Source organism: Homo sapiens, chromosome X, assembly GCF_000001405.40.
Source record: "Homo sapiens chromosome X, GRCh38.p14 Primary Assembly".
Taxonomy (NCBI): Eukaryota; Metazoa; Chordata; class Mammalia; order Primates; family Hominidae; genus Homo; species Homo sapiens.
The window spans coordinates 140,761,483-140,781,495 of NC_000023.11; the positions used below are offsets into that span (position 1 = coordinate 140,761,483).

The 20,013-nt window shown below is 39.4% G+C and overlaps 1 long non-coding RNA gene across 7 annotated transcripts in view; it reads left to right on the forward strand.

Moving 5' to 3' along the window:
* LINC00632 (long intergenic non-protein coding RNA 632) overlaps positions 1–20,013 on the forward strand; it is an 81,599-nt gene that overhangs the window by 51,724 nt on the left and 9,862 nt on the right. For 2 of the 7 annotated variants that reach the window (NR_173144.1, NR_173139.1), the window contains exon 4: positions 10,596–10,769. The exons of 1 other annotated variant lie outside the window; for it this stretch is intronic. This is a non-coding gene — a long non-coding RNA (long intergenic non-protein coding RNA 632). Of the gene's footprint in view, positions 1–3,114; positions 3,217–10,595; positions 11,196–20,013 lie in introns of those variants that run through there. 4 more of the 7 variants (NR_173143.1, NR_190227.1, NR_173140.2 and 1 more) reach the window with 4 other exon arrangements.

The window sequence follows — 20,013 nt, forward strand, 5'->3', positions numbered from 1 at the left end:
TTGAGAACTCTGTGGCTTACACTGTCGAAGCTCTAAGCAAACGTTGTTTTGTAGGTTCAAAAGTTGGAACTCATACTGAATTGGAAAAATTATTGTATGTCTTAATCAGAAAAGGATTTAGGGTAGCTAGTAGCAGGCATTCTGCCAGGAGTCTCACAGCCCTCCAAGGTTTAAGCCTTAAGTATCTTCTTCCCAATTTATGTGTCGTGCATCATAAAATGGGTCTAAGATAACAACATGTTTAGATAAACATTAATTAAACCTTTAGCTAAAAAAATTGTTTGCCTCCTTAGAATATTTGTTGGAGAGGGGATGTTTTGGATGGGTCCTGTTTGTTTGAAAAGACTACTCAAGGGAGTTTCCCAAAATAAATGTCCTTGTGGCAGAGACTCAAAATCATTCATAGAATAGAACTGGAAATGTAGAAATGAGAGAGCCCAAATTCAGAGGTGTTAGGTTCAGCAAACAGAGCATGACGTTTGGTTCGAGCCCACCTGTAGGACCTTGAGTAAGCCAATGTTTACACTCAGTTTCTGCATCTGAAAAAATATGGCAAAGAAGATGTGCTTACATCACAGAATTGTGGTGAGGGAGGATTAACTAAAATACTATACTTTGGGAAATAGTTTGTAAATTTCAAAGTGCCATTAAAATGTAATGAATTACTATTATAATCATCACTGTCTGAGGTCCTACAGCTTATAGCGACCTCGTCAGTTTTTCGAAAAGAGAGAGAGAGAGAGAGAGAGAGAGAGAGAGAGCACTCTTATCTTTCCCCACTAGATGGCAGGCGAGCCACTTGGTAAAGTACTGATTGGCTTAGGACTCTAGAAACCACAGCAGGATTTTGGTTTGTGAAGCAGCGTAGCAATGGACAAAGGGTGAATTAGAAGTCATGAAAAGCAGAGACAGCCTGTATCCCATCGGTTTGCAGTTTACCAGCATTTCGTGTGTATGAAAACATGGTCTTTTTCTTTTGACTGTGAGAAAAATGATAGCTAAACAAATAATTTATCTAAGAAGGAAAATGTTGAGCCCACTCAATTACAGCTAACAGACTTAACGATTATTTGTAACACCACTTTATAGGTAATGTCTTCATCTATATCAGGGATTGACAAACTGCTTCTGTAACAGTAAATATTTCTGGCTGTGAGGGTTAAATGGTTTATGTTGAAACTATTCAGCTTTGCCACTAGCAGAAAAGCAGCTTGAGACAATATGAAAATAAGTGGGCATGAATAGGTTACTATAAACGTTTATTTATGGACACCGAATTTTGAAATTCACATAACTTACACTTGTCACAAAATATTCTTCTTTTGATATTTTTTGAGCACTAAAAAATGTAAACATTATTTTTAGGTGAAAGATTGTACAAAAAATGACCATAGGCGTGATTTGACTGGCAAGCAGTAGTTTGCAGATCCCTGGGCTAATGTTAAAGACTTCTTAGCTATCAGATTAGCAGTCTCCTTAATCTATATATTTATAACTCTCATAACACATATTTCAATGTGGTTAGTATATTTTTTGCATGTATAAATTACTAAAAATCCATGTGATATTTTTGCCTACATCTGTTATTGTCTTGTTTGTTAAAGACTATAGACAAAAAAATTCAAGTAGTAGGCCAGGCGCGGTGGCTCACGCCTGTAATCCCAGCATTTTGGGAGGCCAAGGCGGGCAGATCACCTGAGGTCAGGAGTTCAAAACCAGCCTGGCCAACATGGTGAAACCCCGTCTCTATTAAAACAAAAAAATACAAATATTAGCCAGGCATAGTGGCGGGTGCCTGTAATCTCAGCTACTTAGGAGGCTGAGGCAGGAGAATCGCTTGAACCCAGGAGGCAGAGGTTGCAGTGAGCCGAGATTGTGCCACTGCACTCCAGCCTGGGTGACAGAGGGAGACTCTGTCTCAAAAAAAAAAAAAAAAAAAATTCTAGTAGTTGGTGCATTGTTCTTGGGTTTGTCAGAAAGAAAGCACACAGTTAAATGTGAATTTCAGTTAAAAAACTAAAAACAAAAGGGATTCACTGCTTTCTCTGAGACTCAATTTTAACTGGGTGAACTAAATTGCTAAGTCTGATATTTGTTCTTGTACTGACCGATCCTCATTTATTAAGGCCTTAATAAATGAAGTTGAATATCTGAAGACAAGACTTCTCCAGTAAAATATGTCTTTGGGGAATTGGGAGAAATATGGATCTTCACTGGCCTGGTTGTTTTCCGTGCACTTTAACGCATTAAAACAACTGTATGGCATTAACAGCTGTTTTTCACATCCATTTTCTAGAAGAACAAATTCTGAGCTGCCAGTCTCAGTTGAACAAGCCATTTAAAATGCTTTGTAAGAATCTCAGAGTAACCTGTGGACAAGCACTTGCCATTTTATGTTGCGAAGGGCTTCAGAGAAATTTGAGGTCTTATAAAGGAATTGAGTAGGAACAGCAAATAAAATCCTCCCAGGCTGGCGTTCTGTGAAACTGAGCTTCCTTCAGGCCGTTTCACAACAGAAACTCGGTCCTCCTCTGAAAGCTTTTTTATACCCCTTGATGGAGGTGTCAAGCGTGCACAGGCAGCAATTCGTAGGGCCTGCTTTAGAGAGGTTTCTTTTTGTGTGTATCTGTTAGGATTCACTACTGGTATTAAATATTAACCCACATTTAATTTGCCTCGTGACTTTTCACGACAGATATTGAATGTTAAATACTCTCCAAATCGGATGTTTTTTCCAGTTTTAAGATTTGACGCCCTTATGATCGAATCCATCCACGACTTTTACAGTTATTGAATAACCAACAGACCCTTGGAGGGTCTCTTACCGCTCTGGACTTGAGTTGGTTAATTCCGCTGCAGAGACGGAGTGGGGCGGGGGCGGGGGTGGGGGTGGGGGTGGGGGTGAGTGGTGTAACTGAGGAAGAGTCCCTGGCATACTGCAACTAGGTCAGAAGTGACAGCATTCAGCCCTCCCCTCCTTAGGGAGTGGGGTAAGGGGGCGACCCCGCCCAGTGCAGAGGGTGGCGAGTCAGGAGCCGACGAATGCTGGAGAGGCCATCCGCAGGGGCGGGTCTCTCCAGAGAGCAGCCGGGTGACAACGTGGCACAGAACGGCACTGCATCGGAGTAGGCACACTGCAAAGACGAGACGAGTCCTCCCCAGAGAGGGGAGGCGGTTAAGGAGAGGAGATTGCGTGGCTCGGAGCAGCCAGACCCGGTAAGCCGACTCCTTCCCGTATTCCGCTTTAACCAAGCTTGTTTCCCTGGCGGCCCCACAAATTCCCTGAGCGGAGCGTCTTCGCTGGCTCGCAGCCAGCCAGTCAGAGCCCACCTCTGCGACCTCCTCCTCCTTCCCATCCTGAGGGCTCCTGCCTCGGCTCCCGGCTTCCTCCTCCGGGCTATCTTTTACCCCTTCGGTAGCTGGAAAATCGCCCTCACTCAATCACCACGGTGGTAAATAGGGCAAAACGAGCAAGGCACTCGCCTCGGGTGCAAAATTTAAGGCGGCACCAAGATACTCAGTAATCAAGATAAAACTGTTCATGCAGTCTCTTTAAAATTCAAAGTTATAGCCAAAATTCCGCAAGAAGCTAGATAAGAAATATTAAATAAGGGCAAGCTCAGACCTTGCACTTGAACGACTTAGCCTCACTTGCCTCACCCGAATCCCCGACGCAGCTAATCAACTCTGAAGTGATTCCCTCCTCTCCGTGGTGCCACGTAGTAGACCTCCGGTTTTCGTTGTGTATACGCCTTCCTGGTTGTGTGGGAAGGGGCAGGGACTGAGCCTCAAGTAGCGCAGCCCAGTGCTTTGTTCACCGAGGCCCTGGGGTCAACGTGGATTTTGGAGTAGCCCAAAGCTGAGAGCTTATGCAGCCGCCCCAAGTTGCAAAGCTTTGCATTGGAACCGCCCGATCCCCACAGAAGCAAAGTTCGAGGGGAAACTGCACTCCCTTAATTAGTATTTAGGAACCCCTTCAATAATTGAATTGAGTATAAAATCTTTAAAGTAACTACAAATAGCAGGGAACGGCTTTTGGAATTGTTTTTCTAGAAGAGGGACGCCTCTATGCTTAGAGATTCCTTGTTCCTCTCTAGCTTCCCATGTGTATTTGGTGGTATGGCAGTTCAGTCTGAAGTTGCAATGATACAAGCACCTTTAATGAGGATCACACTCAATAACTTAGGAAGCACCATTTACCTCTCCTAGTAAGTGACTAGACACTGTTAGGTGCTGGCTAAAAGGGGTTTTCAATTCTTACCCCTAGAGCCATTTAATGCTGATCTTGAATTGTTTGCTGCTATTACCGTTAAGGGAGGCGACAAGGGGGGCAAGTAGCTCCGGAGTAGGGGATGGACTGGTTTTATTTATAAATGCTTCTTTTTGTCTTATGCGGGCCAGTGAAAAATGAGGTAAGAGGAAGATCTGTAAAAGATCTGGAGAAGATCAGGAAACGATTGTTCAAATCCGTGTGCCTTTTCTTAAAATCTTTTGAGGTTTTGGGCTTGACCAGCTCTTCAAAAGGAAGAAAAGGGCACATGTGATCCCTGGCCTGCTAAACAGAGTTTGCTTCCCTTGAGGAGGTATCAAGCCAAATTCTACTTAACCTGGAATGGGGAAAAGGTGGGCAGAACGGTCATTGTCGGCATCGCCAAACGGGGGTCACGGCAGATCCCCTTAGCTGTTGGATTTCTTATAGGCCTGGTTTAGCTGTTCCACGCTGTAGCCAGCAGAGGGCACTGTTGCTACATAGAATCTTTTTTGACTGTTTTTGGTGGTGAATTTTCAGAGCTATTTAAAAAACTTCCATCCAGTAAGAAGTATGAACGATTTTCCATGAAATTTTAATGTGAAAAATAGATTATTATTAAAAACTGATGGATGTCTATTTGGTTGTTAACCCATTGAACCATAGAAAGAGAGTGAAGATGTTCCATAACAATCAAAGATTAAAATAGCAAGAACAAAAAATAAATGTGATAATAAATATCAGCATCATATCCCTCAATTGTTTCGAACATAAGTAGTTAGGGCTTTTGCTCATAGGGATGATACTTAAATTTTCAAATGAAGAAAGTTGATTTGTGAATTTATATTACTCATTTGGAAGAATGAAAACTGGGATATGCATGGTCATGTGATCTTATAATGTACAATTCAGTTTTCTACATAGAAGTCTCCAGTAAAATATGCTTCTACGTGCAGTGGGAATTTAAAAATTAACAATGTAAAAGATGTATAATTAATTATCATAAATGAAATAACAAAGAAAGAATGTGTATGATTCTGAGTAGGATTAGAATTGAAATCTGTTCGTTATGTTTAGGTAATATTTGTAGAAATTTAATGGAAGAGTTGTATCGATACTAATTTATTTCTTACCGTTTTGATAGGAATATGTGGAACAAAAAGAAAATTCATATTGTAGAAACTTAGACTCACATTTTGTGTTAGAACCTATGAGCTACTCTGGGTGTTTTATTTTAAGATGGTTTTTGCTCATTGTTATGCTACAGGTATTATCATACATCTTTTCTAAAGGTGGAGGCCTTCTTTTTTATTTAACCAGAAGTTTCTTGTGTTAGGATGATTTTGAGCAGTTAAGAATTGCAAGAAAAAATCTTAACATCATTAGTTTCAAGTGCATTGTAATGGATGAGTGTGTCATCTAGAGCAAGATTGCATAGCTGTACATTTTGGGCTTTCCTGCTTAATAAATGTGTGACCTCAGACAGATTATGTAACTTGTCTGAGCTTCAATTTCCTCATCTATAAAATAATAATAATAATGCCTAACACATAGGGTTGTATTAAATATTAAGTGAGTTAATATATGTAAAGCAGCTAGAACAGTGCCTGGCCCAGAAAAATTCACTTTATTAGTGTTATTTACCTATTATTTTTTTCCATTTTTGTTAATAATATTTGAACATGATGCATTAATTTCCCCTTAGTTTATTGTTTAGCTCTAGAGCTGCTTAGATTCATTTGCATATAATATTGCTTATTTAATTTTAAAGAAGTGGTTCTATGCACATTTAGTAACTTACGCCTCTTAAACATTGGCTATGCAAGAGAATTCTTGAATAATTTCATGAAGCACTCTTTGTCTCTTACTCAGAGTAGAATATTTTGAAGACATCTTTTCTCTGAAGTTTTTAGACAAGCTATAAACTAGTTTGTATTAGTCAGAGTTCTCCAGTGAGACAGAACCAATGGGATAGCTAGCTAGATAGATAGATAGAGGAGAGGGGATTTATTAGAGAAATTTGTTCATGTGGTTATGGAGGATGAGAAGGCCAAGACTGAGGGACTGACAATTGGCAAGGGCTTTCTTGCTGTGTCATCCCATGGCAAAGGAGAGAGAGGCCAAACTTGCCCTTTTGTAAGGAATCCATTCCCATGAAATGCCATTCCCATGAATGGCATTAATCTATTCATGACGGTGGAGCCTAACCACCTCTTAAAGATCTCACCTCTTAATACTGTTACAGTGGCAATTACGTTTCAACATGAGTTTTGGAGGAGACAGACATTCAAACCATAACGCAGCTCCATGACAGAATTTTCACATGCTCCAGAATGTGAATGACAGCTACTCATTTTAAGGGAAAACAGCTTAGTTTAGTGTAAAAAACATGGATATTGGAGTCTGGAGCTTGGACGCTAGCTGTGTGACTTTGGACATGCCACATGTCATCTTTGAGCTTCTGCTTTTTCAAATACAAGGATGTTGTAAGGCCAAAATATGATCAGGTTGTAAAGGGTTTGCCACATACTGAGTGCTCACATCAAAACATATTAGTTCCATTTCCTTGACCTTACTCCCTTTCTCCTTTGATAATGCTTCATTCAAGGGTAGATCGAAGACCTCAGGACCAAGGAGGAAATGAAATGTTAAGAAGATTTGACTGTAACAAAAGGGTTAGTGTTAACACATCCATTCTGTACCTATACAATAGAAGTGCAATAGTAATCTTAGAAGCTGTGAAAGAGCACTGCTGCTTCCTCTCTCTGGGCCTCTGAATTAATCAATGATGTAATATATATAACACATATAATATATATACTATATTATATATTTATTATATATACTATATTATATATTTATTATATATAAATATATATTTATCACATAATAAATATATATACTATATAATATATTTATTATATATAATAAATCTATAATAAATATACATACTATATAATATATTTATTATATAATAAATATATATTTAATTAAATATATAATTAAATATATAACATATTTATCATATATAATAAAATATATTATATATATTTGTATATGTATAGATTAGTGTATAAGTATATATATTTGTATATATTATATATATATTTGTACTAATATACATACACAAATACATATTAGTATAGGACCTAGTTACTGCCTCTAAGGCTTCATGTCTTTCTGATGGTCATATAATGGAATGAATGGGACTTGAGTTGGATGATGAGATTCCATAGATAGAAAGGAAAGAGGGAGCATTCCAACTAGAAGGAATGGTGTGAGGAGAGGTACAAATGTGATTTTGGTCAGGAGCCAATAAGTAAACTAGTCTTTCCAGAGAACCTTTCTTGGGGAAGGTGCCTTGTAGTGCCCACAAATGCAGGAAGCAAGAATTAGGACAAGGTCACCGATGGTCAGTTCAGAAGGCTTATTGAGTAAGCACAACACAGCAGAGGTACTGTTTGGGGAATAAAAAGCTGGTGGCTATGAGGGTGGACTTGGTTATGGCAAAGTTAGTCAGGAAACTATTTTAACAGTCTGGGGCCAGATCATGGAGGGCCTCATAGGCCCCAATTGCTCCTTCATCTACATTTGCTTCAGCTTTTACATCTTTCTAGACCAGTCCTGTTGTTTTACAGCTGTCTTCCATTTCAGTCTTAGATTCTGTCTTCTATTTGCAAGTGGCAATTCTAAAATCCCATTTGATTTCCATAGCATCTAATAAAATTCGGTTTTTTCTCCACCCCACCCCCCCCATGAAAGCAAATTTTCCATACATTTTGTATGCCAAAACCTAGTAACAAGGAAGAATAGGTCAGATTAATCCTAAATATCTGCTGTTTTATTCACTGCAAACATAAACCCTTTCGTTAATATCAAGACAGCTAAACAACTCCACCTCATCTAAGAAATCTGGCATCTGAAGCCCTTTATGATTTGCCTCAACAAATCTTTTACAGTTTTATTTTTACTGCCCACTTCAGCCGTCCTTTGTTTCAGCTTCATCCCTCATCTAATTCCACGCGTACCCAGCAATTTCGTGCCTCCGCCTTTGTCCCTTCCACCTGCTTGCCTTCTCCTCCACACCCTAAAAATTCTACCCATTCTTCAAGGTCCCATTCAAATGCTACTCCTTTTGAGAGCATTGCATGCTGGTCTTACTTTCTGTACTATAAACATTTATGCTATAAAATGAGGACCTATTCTATTCCAGTTACCGTCAAGGCATTCCCAAATGATTAAAACACAGGGAAACAGATGGCACTATAGTGAAATATCCTAAGTGCTGTAATCAGAGTAGGCATTGGAGGAAGGCTCTGAGAGTTTCCATCATCAATTCAAAGCCAGCAGGAGGGATCAGGGAAAGCTTCCTGGAAGAGGTGGCATCAGAGGCGTTTGAACCAGAGTGACTCCATCTTGAGTAGGGGCTGGGTAAAATAAGGCTGAGACCTACTGGGCTGCATTCCCAGGAGGTTAAGGCATTCTTAATCACAGGATGAGATAGGAGGTCAGCACAAGATACAGGTCACAAAGACCTTGCTGATAAAACAGCATGTGGTAAAGAAGCCGGCCAGAACTCACCAAAACCAATATGGCGATGAAAGTGACCTCTGGTCGTCCTCACTGCTCATTGTATGCTAATTATAATGCCCACCAAGCACCTGGATTTAAAAATTGGTAACTATTTAGCCAGGTGTGGTGGCTCACGCCTATAATCACAGCTACTTCGGAGGCTGAGGCAGTTGCAGTGAGCCAAGATCACGCCACTGCACTCCAGCCTGGGCGACAGAGTGAGACTCCATCTCAAAACAACAACATAAAAATTGTTAACATTTTTCCATAAAATAAATTACTGATAACATTGTATATCTATTTGCTTCAGTTCCTCCCTCGACAAAACATATATTTATTTATGTTACCACAGTTCCATTACTGCACCCAATAGAATCAACAGCAGTGGCCGAATGTCATCTAACAGCCTACTCATGCTCCGATTCCCTCAGTTCTTCCAAAACTATGAGTGACTATTTATTTATTAATTATTAGTGAAGCGTTATCAGAAGATCTGAGATCCGAGAACTTGGTACTGTTGTTCACTTGATATGAGTCGTAGTATGGATTGGTAGACGAACAAAACTTAAGACAACAAAATAGATAGTAATTATTTATTTGAAAACATTTTCCTCTCAAAGCTACACTAACCCAAAGAAACTGCGGGATCAACTAAGATCAGCTTGAGGACTCAACCTGGTTACCCAGGAGTTATGGCACTACCAGAAACTCTCAGGCTCTAGAGAGAAAAAAGACTACTGGGAGAGAACTCCAGACACTTGTGGATGGATAGTCAGATGTTTATTCCAACACCATTTTTTGAGTAGTCCATCCTTTCCTTAATGTTCGGAAATACTACCAGACAACTGTAAAAATATTAAAAATGAATAAGTGAACATATTTGTATTATCTTATTGGGGGAAAGACTTTTCAAAGCAAGGCAGAAACAGTTGACTACATAAATACTTGAAGCAACTTTATGGCAAAAGACAAAAGCAATAAAATTCGAAAGTAAATGACATGCTCGGAAAAAATATTTGCAATATAGAGAGGATTAAAAATAAGTTCTCTAAAATGTTAACAGTACCTATAAATCAGTAAGAAAAAAATATAACGTGGAAAAAGGATAAGAACAAGTATTTAAAGAGGAAAGGTGATGAAAGAAATCAATTAAAACAAAAATTAGATACCTTGTGATTTACCTTCTAATTGATACAAGTCACAAATGTTGATTATGTGTCATGTTGGTAAGTACATGAGAGGAAAGAACTGTCATTTGCTTTTAGCATACAAATTGGTACAACCTTTGCAAGGGCAATTTGGCATATATACACACACACACACACACACACACACACACACATACATATATGTGTGTGTGTGTATATATATATATATATATATTTTTTTTTTTTGAGACGGAATCTTACTCTGTCACCCAGGCTGGAGTGCAGTGGTGTGATCTCGGCTCACTGCAACCTCTGCCCCCTGGGTTCAAGTGATTCTCCTGCCTCAGCCTCCCAAGTAGCTGGGATTATAGGCATGTGCCACCATGCCCAGCTAATTTTTTTGCATTTTTAGTAGAGACGGGGTTTCGCCACATTGGCCAGGCTGGTCTCAAACTCCTGACCTCGTGATCCCCCTGCCTCAGCCACCCAAAGTGCCGGGATTACAGGCGTGAGCCACCATGCCCGGCCCTGGCATATATTTTTATTACTCCAAATTTATAAGCTACTCATTTAGATTGCCTCTGTTCCTGACCTCATTTCCTATTTTTATGTTTGCTTTTTCCTAGATGGTGTGCTTCTCACCTCAGCGTGATAGCCTGACCTTGACTCCTGAGTTCCACGATCGCTTCACAACTGCAAGTCACCATCATACAAAATTTGAGTTTCCCTAAGTCCGCGCCTTTGAGAGCTTTGGAACGATATGCAAGTTCAAGTCACCATCCTGTTTCTTGCTACCTCCTGTGAGAAGACCAACATTTGGGTTACACTTGTTTCTACTCTTGTTCTTCTGCTTGTTATTGTTGCCTCTGCAGCCATTGATCACACACGTGTTGTCATACAAAAACTGGTTAGCCTTTTTATTTGTCTTGTGAATTTTATCATTTGGTTCTTAAGTATTACAAATTAATATTGTGTACTCTCATTGATATACAACTTGCAGTCATTGTAAATATGCGTGAGTTAGGGGTGAGAATGGCATGCAAGCAAAAGAACAAGGAGAGGGATGATAGAGATGCAAGAAGAGTAAAGAGGGCAAGAAAGTTTATGTTAATAGCGAACACAATGAAAGTTCTTTAAATGCTTGATAATGGTGAAAGCAACACTTCCTAGGGCATATTTTTGGTGTTAATGAACCTACACATCATACAATAAAGAAAATTGAGAAAGCAGTTGGGGCCAGTGAATCGGGGGCACACAAGAATCACTGAGAAAATCATACACAACTCAAAATGCCACAATAGGGAAAATATAAAGAGATTTGCACTTGTGGCTTCTAAAACAGAGAAGGTTGAATAGGTCTCTTTCTGTGTGTAAAATCTGCCAGTGAGCATCACAAAAATGCAAATTTAAATTTCAATCTGGATGGAAAGTTATAAAATTCATTGCAAGTAATGGGTGGTTGGGTAGGTTTAAGAAATGCCAGGTGGGTGGATCACTTGAGGTCTGGAGTTTGCAACTAGCCTGGCCAACATGGTGAAACCTTGTCTCTACTAAAAATACAAAAATTAGCCAGGATTGGTGGCGGGTACCTGTAATCTCAGCTACTCAGGAGGCTGAGGCAGGAGAATCGCTTGAACCTAGGAGGCAGAGGTTGCAGTGAGCTGAGATCGTGCCATCGCACTCCAGCCTGGGTGACGAGAGCAAAGCTCTGTCTCAAAAAAAGAAAAGAAGAGAAGAGAAAAGAGAAGAGAAGAAAGAAGAGAAGAGAAGAGAAGAGAAGCTGTGGCCTGTAATGAAAAGAAGTGGAGAAGTGACTGTCAGAGGAAGCAGATTAAGGAGCTGCCGGAGAGTATCCTGAATACCTGAAGAAGACGATTGAGGACAATGGCAATTTGCCTGAGCAGGTTGTCAGTGCTGCTGAAACTCTGGAAGCAAATGCCTACTTGCACATCTATTGCAAAGCATGAGAAAAGGACCAGAGGCTTCAAGCCTGGAAAAGACAAACTCAAAGTTCTGCTTTGTTCCAGTGTGTTCTGATTAAACCCATGTTGCTTTACAGATTCCAAAATTGTTACCTTCTTTAAAGAGAAAGCCAGAAACACTTTTCTGTGTACATGAAGGGAAACCATGAAATATGGATCACTGAGAAACTCTTTTTGAACTGGTCTTTGAAGTGTTTTGTTCTGAGGTTAAATAACATTTAAATGAAAAAAAAATCTTGACTTCACAGTGTTGTGATTCTGGACACTGCTCCTACAGACAAAAATGCAGTCATAAATGCTGCTCCTTGTGTTCAAGTCATCTCCATTACCCCCAGTACGACTCCACTCCTTCAACTCTTGCATCTGAGAGTGCTAGCGATGTACTGTGCTCTGCATGTATTTTGACTACCTGAAGATCTTATCAGAGACACCAGAACTTTACCATGAAAGTGGCTTGGCAACATTTCTCCGTTTGTAATGCTTTAACAGGTGTAGAAGAATCAGTGAGACAAATAAAACAATCAATACTTAATGAAGTCTGGCAGAAATTTTGGAATGAGGTTGTGACTGATTTGGAAGGTTTCCTTCCAGTGGTAGAAGAAATTGAAAATATTGTAACATCTGCAAACCATTTGAATAGTGAAGGCCTTGAAGACATTGAGTTAAGTGACATTACTGAATTGTTAGACTCTCACCTTCAAAAGATAGTTGAGAAATATTTTGGAGATGTGATCACATCAAAAGGCAATAGAAGAAGCCAGCATAGGTTAACATCCAGAACTCTAAGAATGTTCAAGTATCTACTCCACAAATGAAATTGTCACAATGATTCAAAAGAAAGAGATCCTTTGGTGGGCTACATATTGACTTTCAGGTAAGGCTTAGATGATTACTTACAATCCTATAAAGCAGTAGTAATAAACTTCCAAACAAACACCGATAAGTATTTTCTCTCTGCTTACTTGACAGGGGAGAAGAGGTTGACATTAGGCCATGTCATTCAAACCCGTTCTGCAAACAGGAAAACAGGAAGTAGAAACGCCGCACACAGATAGTTAAACCTTGGGATTCAGACTCTGATGGCTCTGATGATATGGTGATTTGTGTGCTGGGGATGAAAGAGGAGCAGAAGACTGAGCTTACATCTCTTCAGACGAAATGCAATTTTCTCTATTCTTTCCCTGTTACTATTGTTACGACCAAGCATTTTCATTGATCCATTATCATCTTCATCTTGAGATCACAAAGGAAGTTAATTGCCTGATATCCACTCTTGTTAATATAAAATATCAATGATATTTATTTTATTGTTTTAGTTTGGTGAACAAACTGATTGTCTAGGCTTTCATAATACTCATGTCCTTGCCTCATTTTTTCCTAAAAAGTCTTAAATTCCTCCAACATGGGTACTCTGAGAGTTTCGGGAACTCAACTATAGCATTTAAGGAGTGGGCTGCTACTGTACTTGGCTGGATAATTTGATTTTGTACTCCTGAAATTTGTTTTAATTCTGATTAAGCCTAACTTGCGATCTCACCAGAAAGGATTAGTTTGGTATAAGTTAAATTAATTTCTTTTCCAGCAATTGTATATGTTAGCTATTGGCTGATCCTGAAAAGCAGTATATTTATGTTAAATTTCCAGATTTCCTTTGGTAGCTAATCAAGGAGGAACAGCTGCTAGAGTTCATTTTCATAGATTCTTTCTGTTCTCATATCTGGCCTCCTCAGTGATTTGAAGAATTGAATATCCTCCAAAAAATGGATATTATTACCTCCTGTTCTCTGATGGTGATGGAGACTTCATTCTCAGATTGTTTTTAAATTCCTTTCATAATTCCATATATTTACTTCATTTGATTCAATTGTGTTACAAAAGTTATTGTCATGGTTGTTTTAATTTTGGATGTTTGGAATTTTCCAGGCAGATTTAACAGAGGAAAAAAAACCACAAAGCCAGAGATACGACGCTGTTATCTTGTTCTAAGAATTTTGGGCAAAGGCATAGGCTGAACCTGCCTGTTCTTTTGGCTGCTTTACACATTCCCAACTGATGTCCATTTTGAACTCAGTTGGACAGTTATTCTGGGGAATAGAGAGGAAGTCCAAATAACATCGCTGTTGTTTCTGTCTTAATTGCTGTTTGTGCCGGATTCACAGCACTGGCCTCATCATTATATCTGATAATGATGCACAGAAAACCTGAATAGAGAAAAGAAGAAAGATAATTCATTGGCATGTGCTTGCCAAAAAGAGACTTTATATAACTTGAGAAAGCATAAAGACAACCTGGAATGAGGAAATGTATGTACAGTAATGAAAAAAAAATGCTTTAAACAGCTGTGTCAAAAACTGACATCAGAGAGTAAATTGAATTTGGTTTTGTAGGAAGCAGGAAGCAAGCCCACTCAAACGTTGAAATTTGGCATGAGGGAGTCCAGTAACTTTCTCCTCAATCTGTGAACTATATGTGAGTTTGATATTTTGAAGGAAAAGGAAAAAAAAAAGTTTAAAAGGGCTTCTGCACAGCAAATGAAACTAGCATCAGAATGAACAGGCAACCAAAAGAATGGGAGAAAAATTTTGCAATCTACCCATCTGACAAAGGTCTAATATCCAGAATCTGCAAGGAACTTCAACAAATTTACAAGAAAAAACAACCCCATCAAAAAGTGGGCAAATGATATGAACAGACACTTCTCAAAAGAAGACACTTACGCAGCCAACAAACATGAAAAAAAGCTCATCATCACTGATCATTAGAGAAATGCCAATCAAAACCACAATGAGAGCCAGACTGGGATCCGGTGCGGAGAGCCCCTCATCCTGGAAAATTGGCCTCGGCCAGAAAGGCAGCCACCCCCTCGCCCATCATGCATAACACGTTCGTGAAGAACCTGGCGCTAAACCATTCCTAGGCAACCTGTTTCTGGGTCAGGGTTTCGTGAGTAGCAGAGCAGATTCCTCGTTGCCATCTATTGAAAGTGAGCCCTCCACACAAGGGTTTGTCTGCCTGCGTGCTCAGGGGGCCGTTGGACCCGCGCGTCCGGCGCTGTCCCTCTTCCTTCCTTCCTCCCGCCACCCGCCGGGGTCCTCGTTACCCAAGCCCGCGCGTGACCACCCACTCCGGGGGTGTCGCGCGCTGGCCTGTCCGCATCCGCCGCGCGTTAGGCCAGTCAGGATGGCGATTATTAAAAAGTCAGGAAAGGATAGATGCCGGAGAGGATGTGGAGAATAGGAACGTTTTTACACTGTCGGTGGGAGTGTAAATTAGTTTAACCACTGTGGAAGACAGTGTGGCGATTCCTCAAGGATCTAGAACCAGAAATACCATTTGACCCAGCAATCCCATTACTAGGTATATACCCAAAAGATTATAGATTATTCTATTATAAAGACATGCACACATATGTTTGTTGCAGCACTATTTACAATAGCAAAGACTTGGAACCAACCCGAATGCCCATCAATGATAGACTGGATAAAGAAAATGTGGCACATATACAACATGGAATATACTGCAGCCATAAAAATGAATTGAGATCATGCCCTTTGTGGGTACATGGATGAAGCTGGAAGCCATCATTCTCAGCAAACTAACACAGGAACAGAGAACCAAACACCACATGTTCTTACTCATAAGTGGGAGTTGAACAATGAGGACACATGGACACTGGGAGGGGAACAACACACACAGGGGCCTGTTGGGGGGTGGGGGGCAAGGGGAGGGAGAGCATTAGGACAAATACCTAATGCATACGGGGCTTAAAACCTAGATGAAGGGTTGATGGGTGCAGCGAACCACCATGGCACATGTATACCTATGTAACAAACCTGCACGTTCTGCACATGTATCTTGGAACTTAATAATAATTTTAAAAAGGGCTTGCTTGCATGGTTATGGTTGAGACTACAGATATTCTTCAACACGCTCAAATGAGGAAGATGAGGGTTGAAAACCCATTGTAGGATGCTGTGGATCTAGGATTCGCCACAGTTCCAGGAGAGCTTACGCTCTTGATCTAAACCACAGTTGTTCTCAACACTGACTGTGTATCAGAGTAATGATAGAAAGCGTTGAAAAATATAGATTTCCAGGAACTGCACAAAGACCTGCTGAATCAGGGATAGGGCCAGAATCTGTATATTTCAAAATTTCCTTCAGCGTTTCTTTATATAGCCATGGTTTTCAAACTGCCGCTCTAAAGCTAGGGAAAATTATGATAGAAAATATAAATGGTAGTGGGCCCAGGAACTAGGAAACCTTGATTCAAAGTGTTTGTTCTGCCACTAGTTCAATGAATGGTCTTATTCAAGTCACTCCTGCCTTTGTCTTTCAAATGAGAGAATAAGACCACTTGGTGTCTAAAGTCTTTCTATCTCTGACATTACCTTGAGAGAAAGGTGCATCAACCACAATGGTTGATTTTGAGAATATCTAAACTTTTTCATAGAGACCAAAGTAAATAGGATTATTATTGCATTGTGTAATTGTGCTCATGGTTCAAGTTTTACCATGTTTTAGTCCCTCCCAGAAAAGGAAGTAGGGCATAATGCCATAGAAACAAGGCAAATATAAACACCAACTCTCTGAAAGGAAAGAGAGGCAGTACCTACTGGGAGTTTCTTTTTCTATGATAATTGTTTTTATTTCCCCTCTGGGTTATAGGTTTTGGGAAAAATAATGCACAGATATTGTGTGTAAAATGCTAATATTTTGTATCTATTGTTTCCATAAACCAAAACAGAGAACCCTGTATGGTGAATGCTTTAAGTTTTCATAGGTCATTTGCTTCTTCTTAGTCACATCTACAGGTAAATATTTTTAAATCAATGATCTTTTCCTCAGTATAATCAGTGGTTCTATATGACTTTAAAGAATGAGCTGTTTTGGCTGGGCGTGGTGGCTCACGCCTGTAATCCCAGCACTTTGGGAGGCCGAGGCGGGCAGATCACGAGGTCAAGAGATCGAGACCATCCTGGCCAACATGGTGAAACCCCATCTCTACTAAAAATATAAAAATTAGCTGGGCGTGGTGGTGCATGCCTGTAACTCCAGCTACTGGTAAGTCTGAGGCAGGAGAATCACTTAAACCTGGGAGGCGGAGGTTGCAGTGAGCCAAGATCGCACCACTGCACTCCAGCCTGGCAACAGGATGAGACTCTGTCTAAACAAACAAACAAAGAAAAAAAAAAAAAAAAAGAACTGTTTTGATAATTTTACCATTTACTGAGATTACTACCTTGGCCATTTTTTTATTTATTTTGACCAGAATTAGAGAAATAAAAGGTTAAATTGAATTGCATCAACTAGGAACTCTTAATATAAATAATAAAATGAGAAATTGACTATTATATGATCTTAGTTGTCATAGAAATACTTTGACTTTGGCTTGATGTATGGAAACATTTATCTAGGGCCCAGGTCATTTGAAATAAAATATTGAGATAAATCTAATTATTGTTTAAGACAATATCCAGTTAAAACAACCTAAGAAGTATCACTGATGAGAGTCAAAGAACATTTTACTGTGGTTGAGTTGAACAGGTCAGCAAAACTTGTAGGAGGATGAGAAAGTTTGATATACGCTAAAGGTAGAAATAGAAGTTAATGACAACACTGCCATGTAAATGGGTGTTTTTTTCTTCTTTAAGAAAAGCCCCCCAAATATCAAAGCTGAGGTTTCTTTTAGTATGTTTTATGCACAGTTTGAGTGGAGAGAACCTGTTGTCAAATGGCTTGGGTAAATTCTTGAGCTCAGTATTACAAAGTGCATGGAAATTTCGTTCTTTATAGACATGTTTAACCACTGTGGCAAAAAGAAAAAAAAGGAGGGGTGGGGAGAAAGGGCAGCCCAGGCTGATGAGATGTGAAGAATATGTTAGGAAACTTGTATTACATTTAAAAAGAACTTTTTGTTTAAAATCTTTTAAGTTCAAAATGCAGAGAAAGCTCTTTAAATTACACATTTGGATTACATAGCTTCTACCACCCGAATGCTAATAAAGGGTTTTGACAGTATATATAGTCTAAAAGCTTGCGTGAACAAGGTTTATGATGTGAAATGCATTGATTACTGAACTTTACATAGTATTATTACCTTTTAATGGCCTTTGATGTCAGTGTGTTATGGTTGCTTAAGAATTCAGAAATATGATGTACTATGAACAGAGTGTATATATTACTGGGAAGTATAAAATCAAATAGAAAATAGATGAAAGAATTAGTATCATTAGCATAAATAACAAATATTGAGAAATTAAGTATGAATCTATTGTGTTTGAGACACTGCATTTCATCTTTCTTGCATTGCTACGTAAAGCCAAAGATATAATTAACTCATCTTTGCAAACACCTAGAATTGGTTCTTGACTACTTGGCAGTGGTATGGTGAGTGTCACAATGATAAGAAAATGGGACTTAAAGTGAGATCTTTGCCACTGACTTCTTGTCTGCTCTGGGCTGGGGGCACCCTCTTTTTGGGTGAGTGGTGCTTAGTCCTGGCAGTACAACCCCTGGGTTATTGGGTTGTGGAGAATCAGCACGGAGGCAAGGTTTTGTAATCACACGGATCTGCTTTCAAATCCTGCCTCTACCAATTACCAGCTGTGTGACTGTGGGCATATTTCTTAACCATTCCAGACTTCAGTTTCTGATCTGTAAAATGCAGTCAAAATACCTGCATTATAGGATTGCTATAAGATTATATGAAATGCTTAGTACAGTGCCTGGCACATAGTAAGCGCTCAATAAATTGTTGTGATTATTATTATTATTATAACATGAATAAGCATTATGCAACCAGAATATGAGAGTTTGCGCCTATCTTTGCAAAATTTTCACACTTTGATACTTAATTTCCCTCAAATTAAGGTATGCATGATGGTTTTAAGATGAGAGAAGGAAGTTTAAAAATGAGTTTTAGTATTTCTTTTTGTTTGCTGATGAGGGATACATGAAACAATAATTTCCTTGTCTGTAAGTTACTCCCTGATCTGCAGTGATTCTTTATGCTATAATGTGGTTATCATTACTGACATTTATTTGTGTAGTGACTAGAGGTAATCTCAGTTTTGGACATGGATGAGTTCTTATTCTCTAGAAAATAATCCATCCACTTGTTTCCACTTTAAAGAAAATTAGGTAACTGTGATATAGGGGTAAAGATAAAGCTAAATAGGGCCTGCTTTGCTTGACCACCAAAATATTAGCTCAGCTGCCTTTTGAGAGAATTTGTGTAAGTCTACGTAATCTTACTAGGCAAGGAAAATTCCTCACAGCTGGCTTCTGAACTTCTTTGAATTTCATGTATTCTATGATGGCATTCAAGAAGTTTAAAATAGTGTTATTCAGAATCCTAAGTATTCATCATAACTGATGCTGTGTCTGCTGAGTGACAGAAACGTCACTGCCTTAATTCTAGCCCCCACTACCACTTACCTGCATAACTGTATTAGCCTCACATCCCAACCCTTTAAGTGTTTTAGCTTGGGGTATTAGGTGTTCTACTGTACGTATCTAGTAGTCTTTGCTATTCAGCACCTTGCTGCTCAACTGGCTTTCCTTATGTACGGTTCTGATTCCAATACCTCCTGGTTCATAGACGTTTAATAACCACCCATTGTCTATATATTCCACTACTTGATCTTTAAATCATGCATGGCCTAGTTCCAGTGTACTTTCCCAGTTTTGTATGCCAGTGTTCTCTTTCATGTAATACATGTGATAGTTCCTGACTTCCTCAGCTTTATCTAAGTACTAAGGGCCTTCAGCGCATAGCTCAAGTCTAATCCCTGAAGCTTGTCACTTAAGGTCTTTGTCACTTAAGAAATTACATGTATTACCTGAAGCCAGGGTGCCTGAGAAGAGCCTACCAAGCTATAATCTTTTTCCTGTTCCCCTCCATATATGTCCAGTCTGTAGGGGTGGGTTTCTTCTCTAATTTACTTAAGCTTCCAGCCTATTTAATTAAATTAGGACATCCTCATTGATCCTCAGCCCTGTTGGTTGGGCCCCTGAATGCAACCCATTTAATTTTGGCTCTGAATACAAGGCTCCCTGT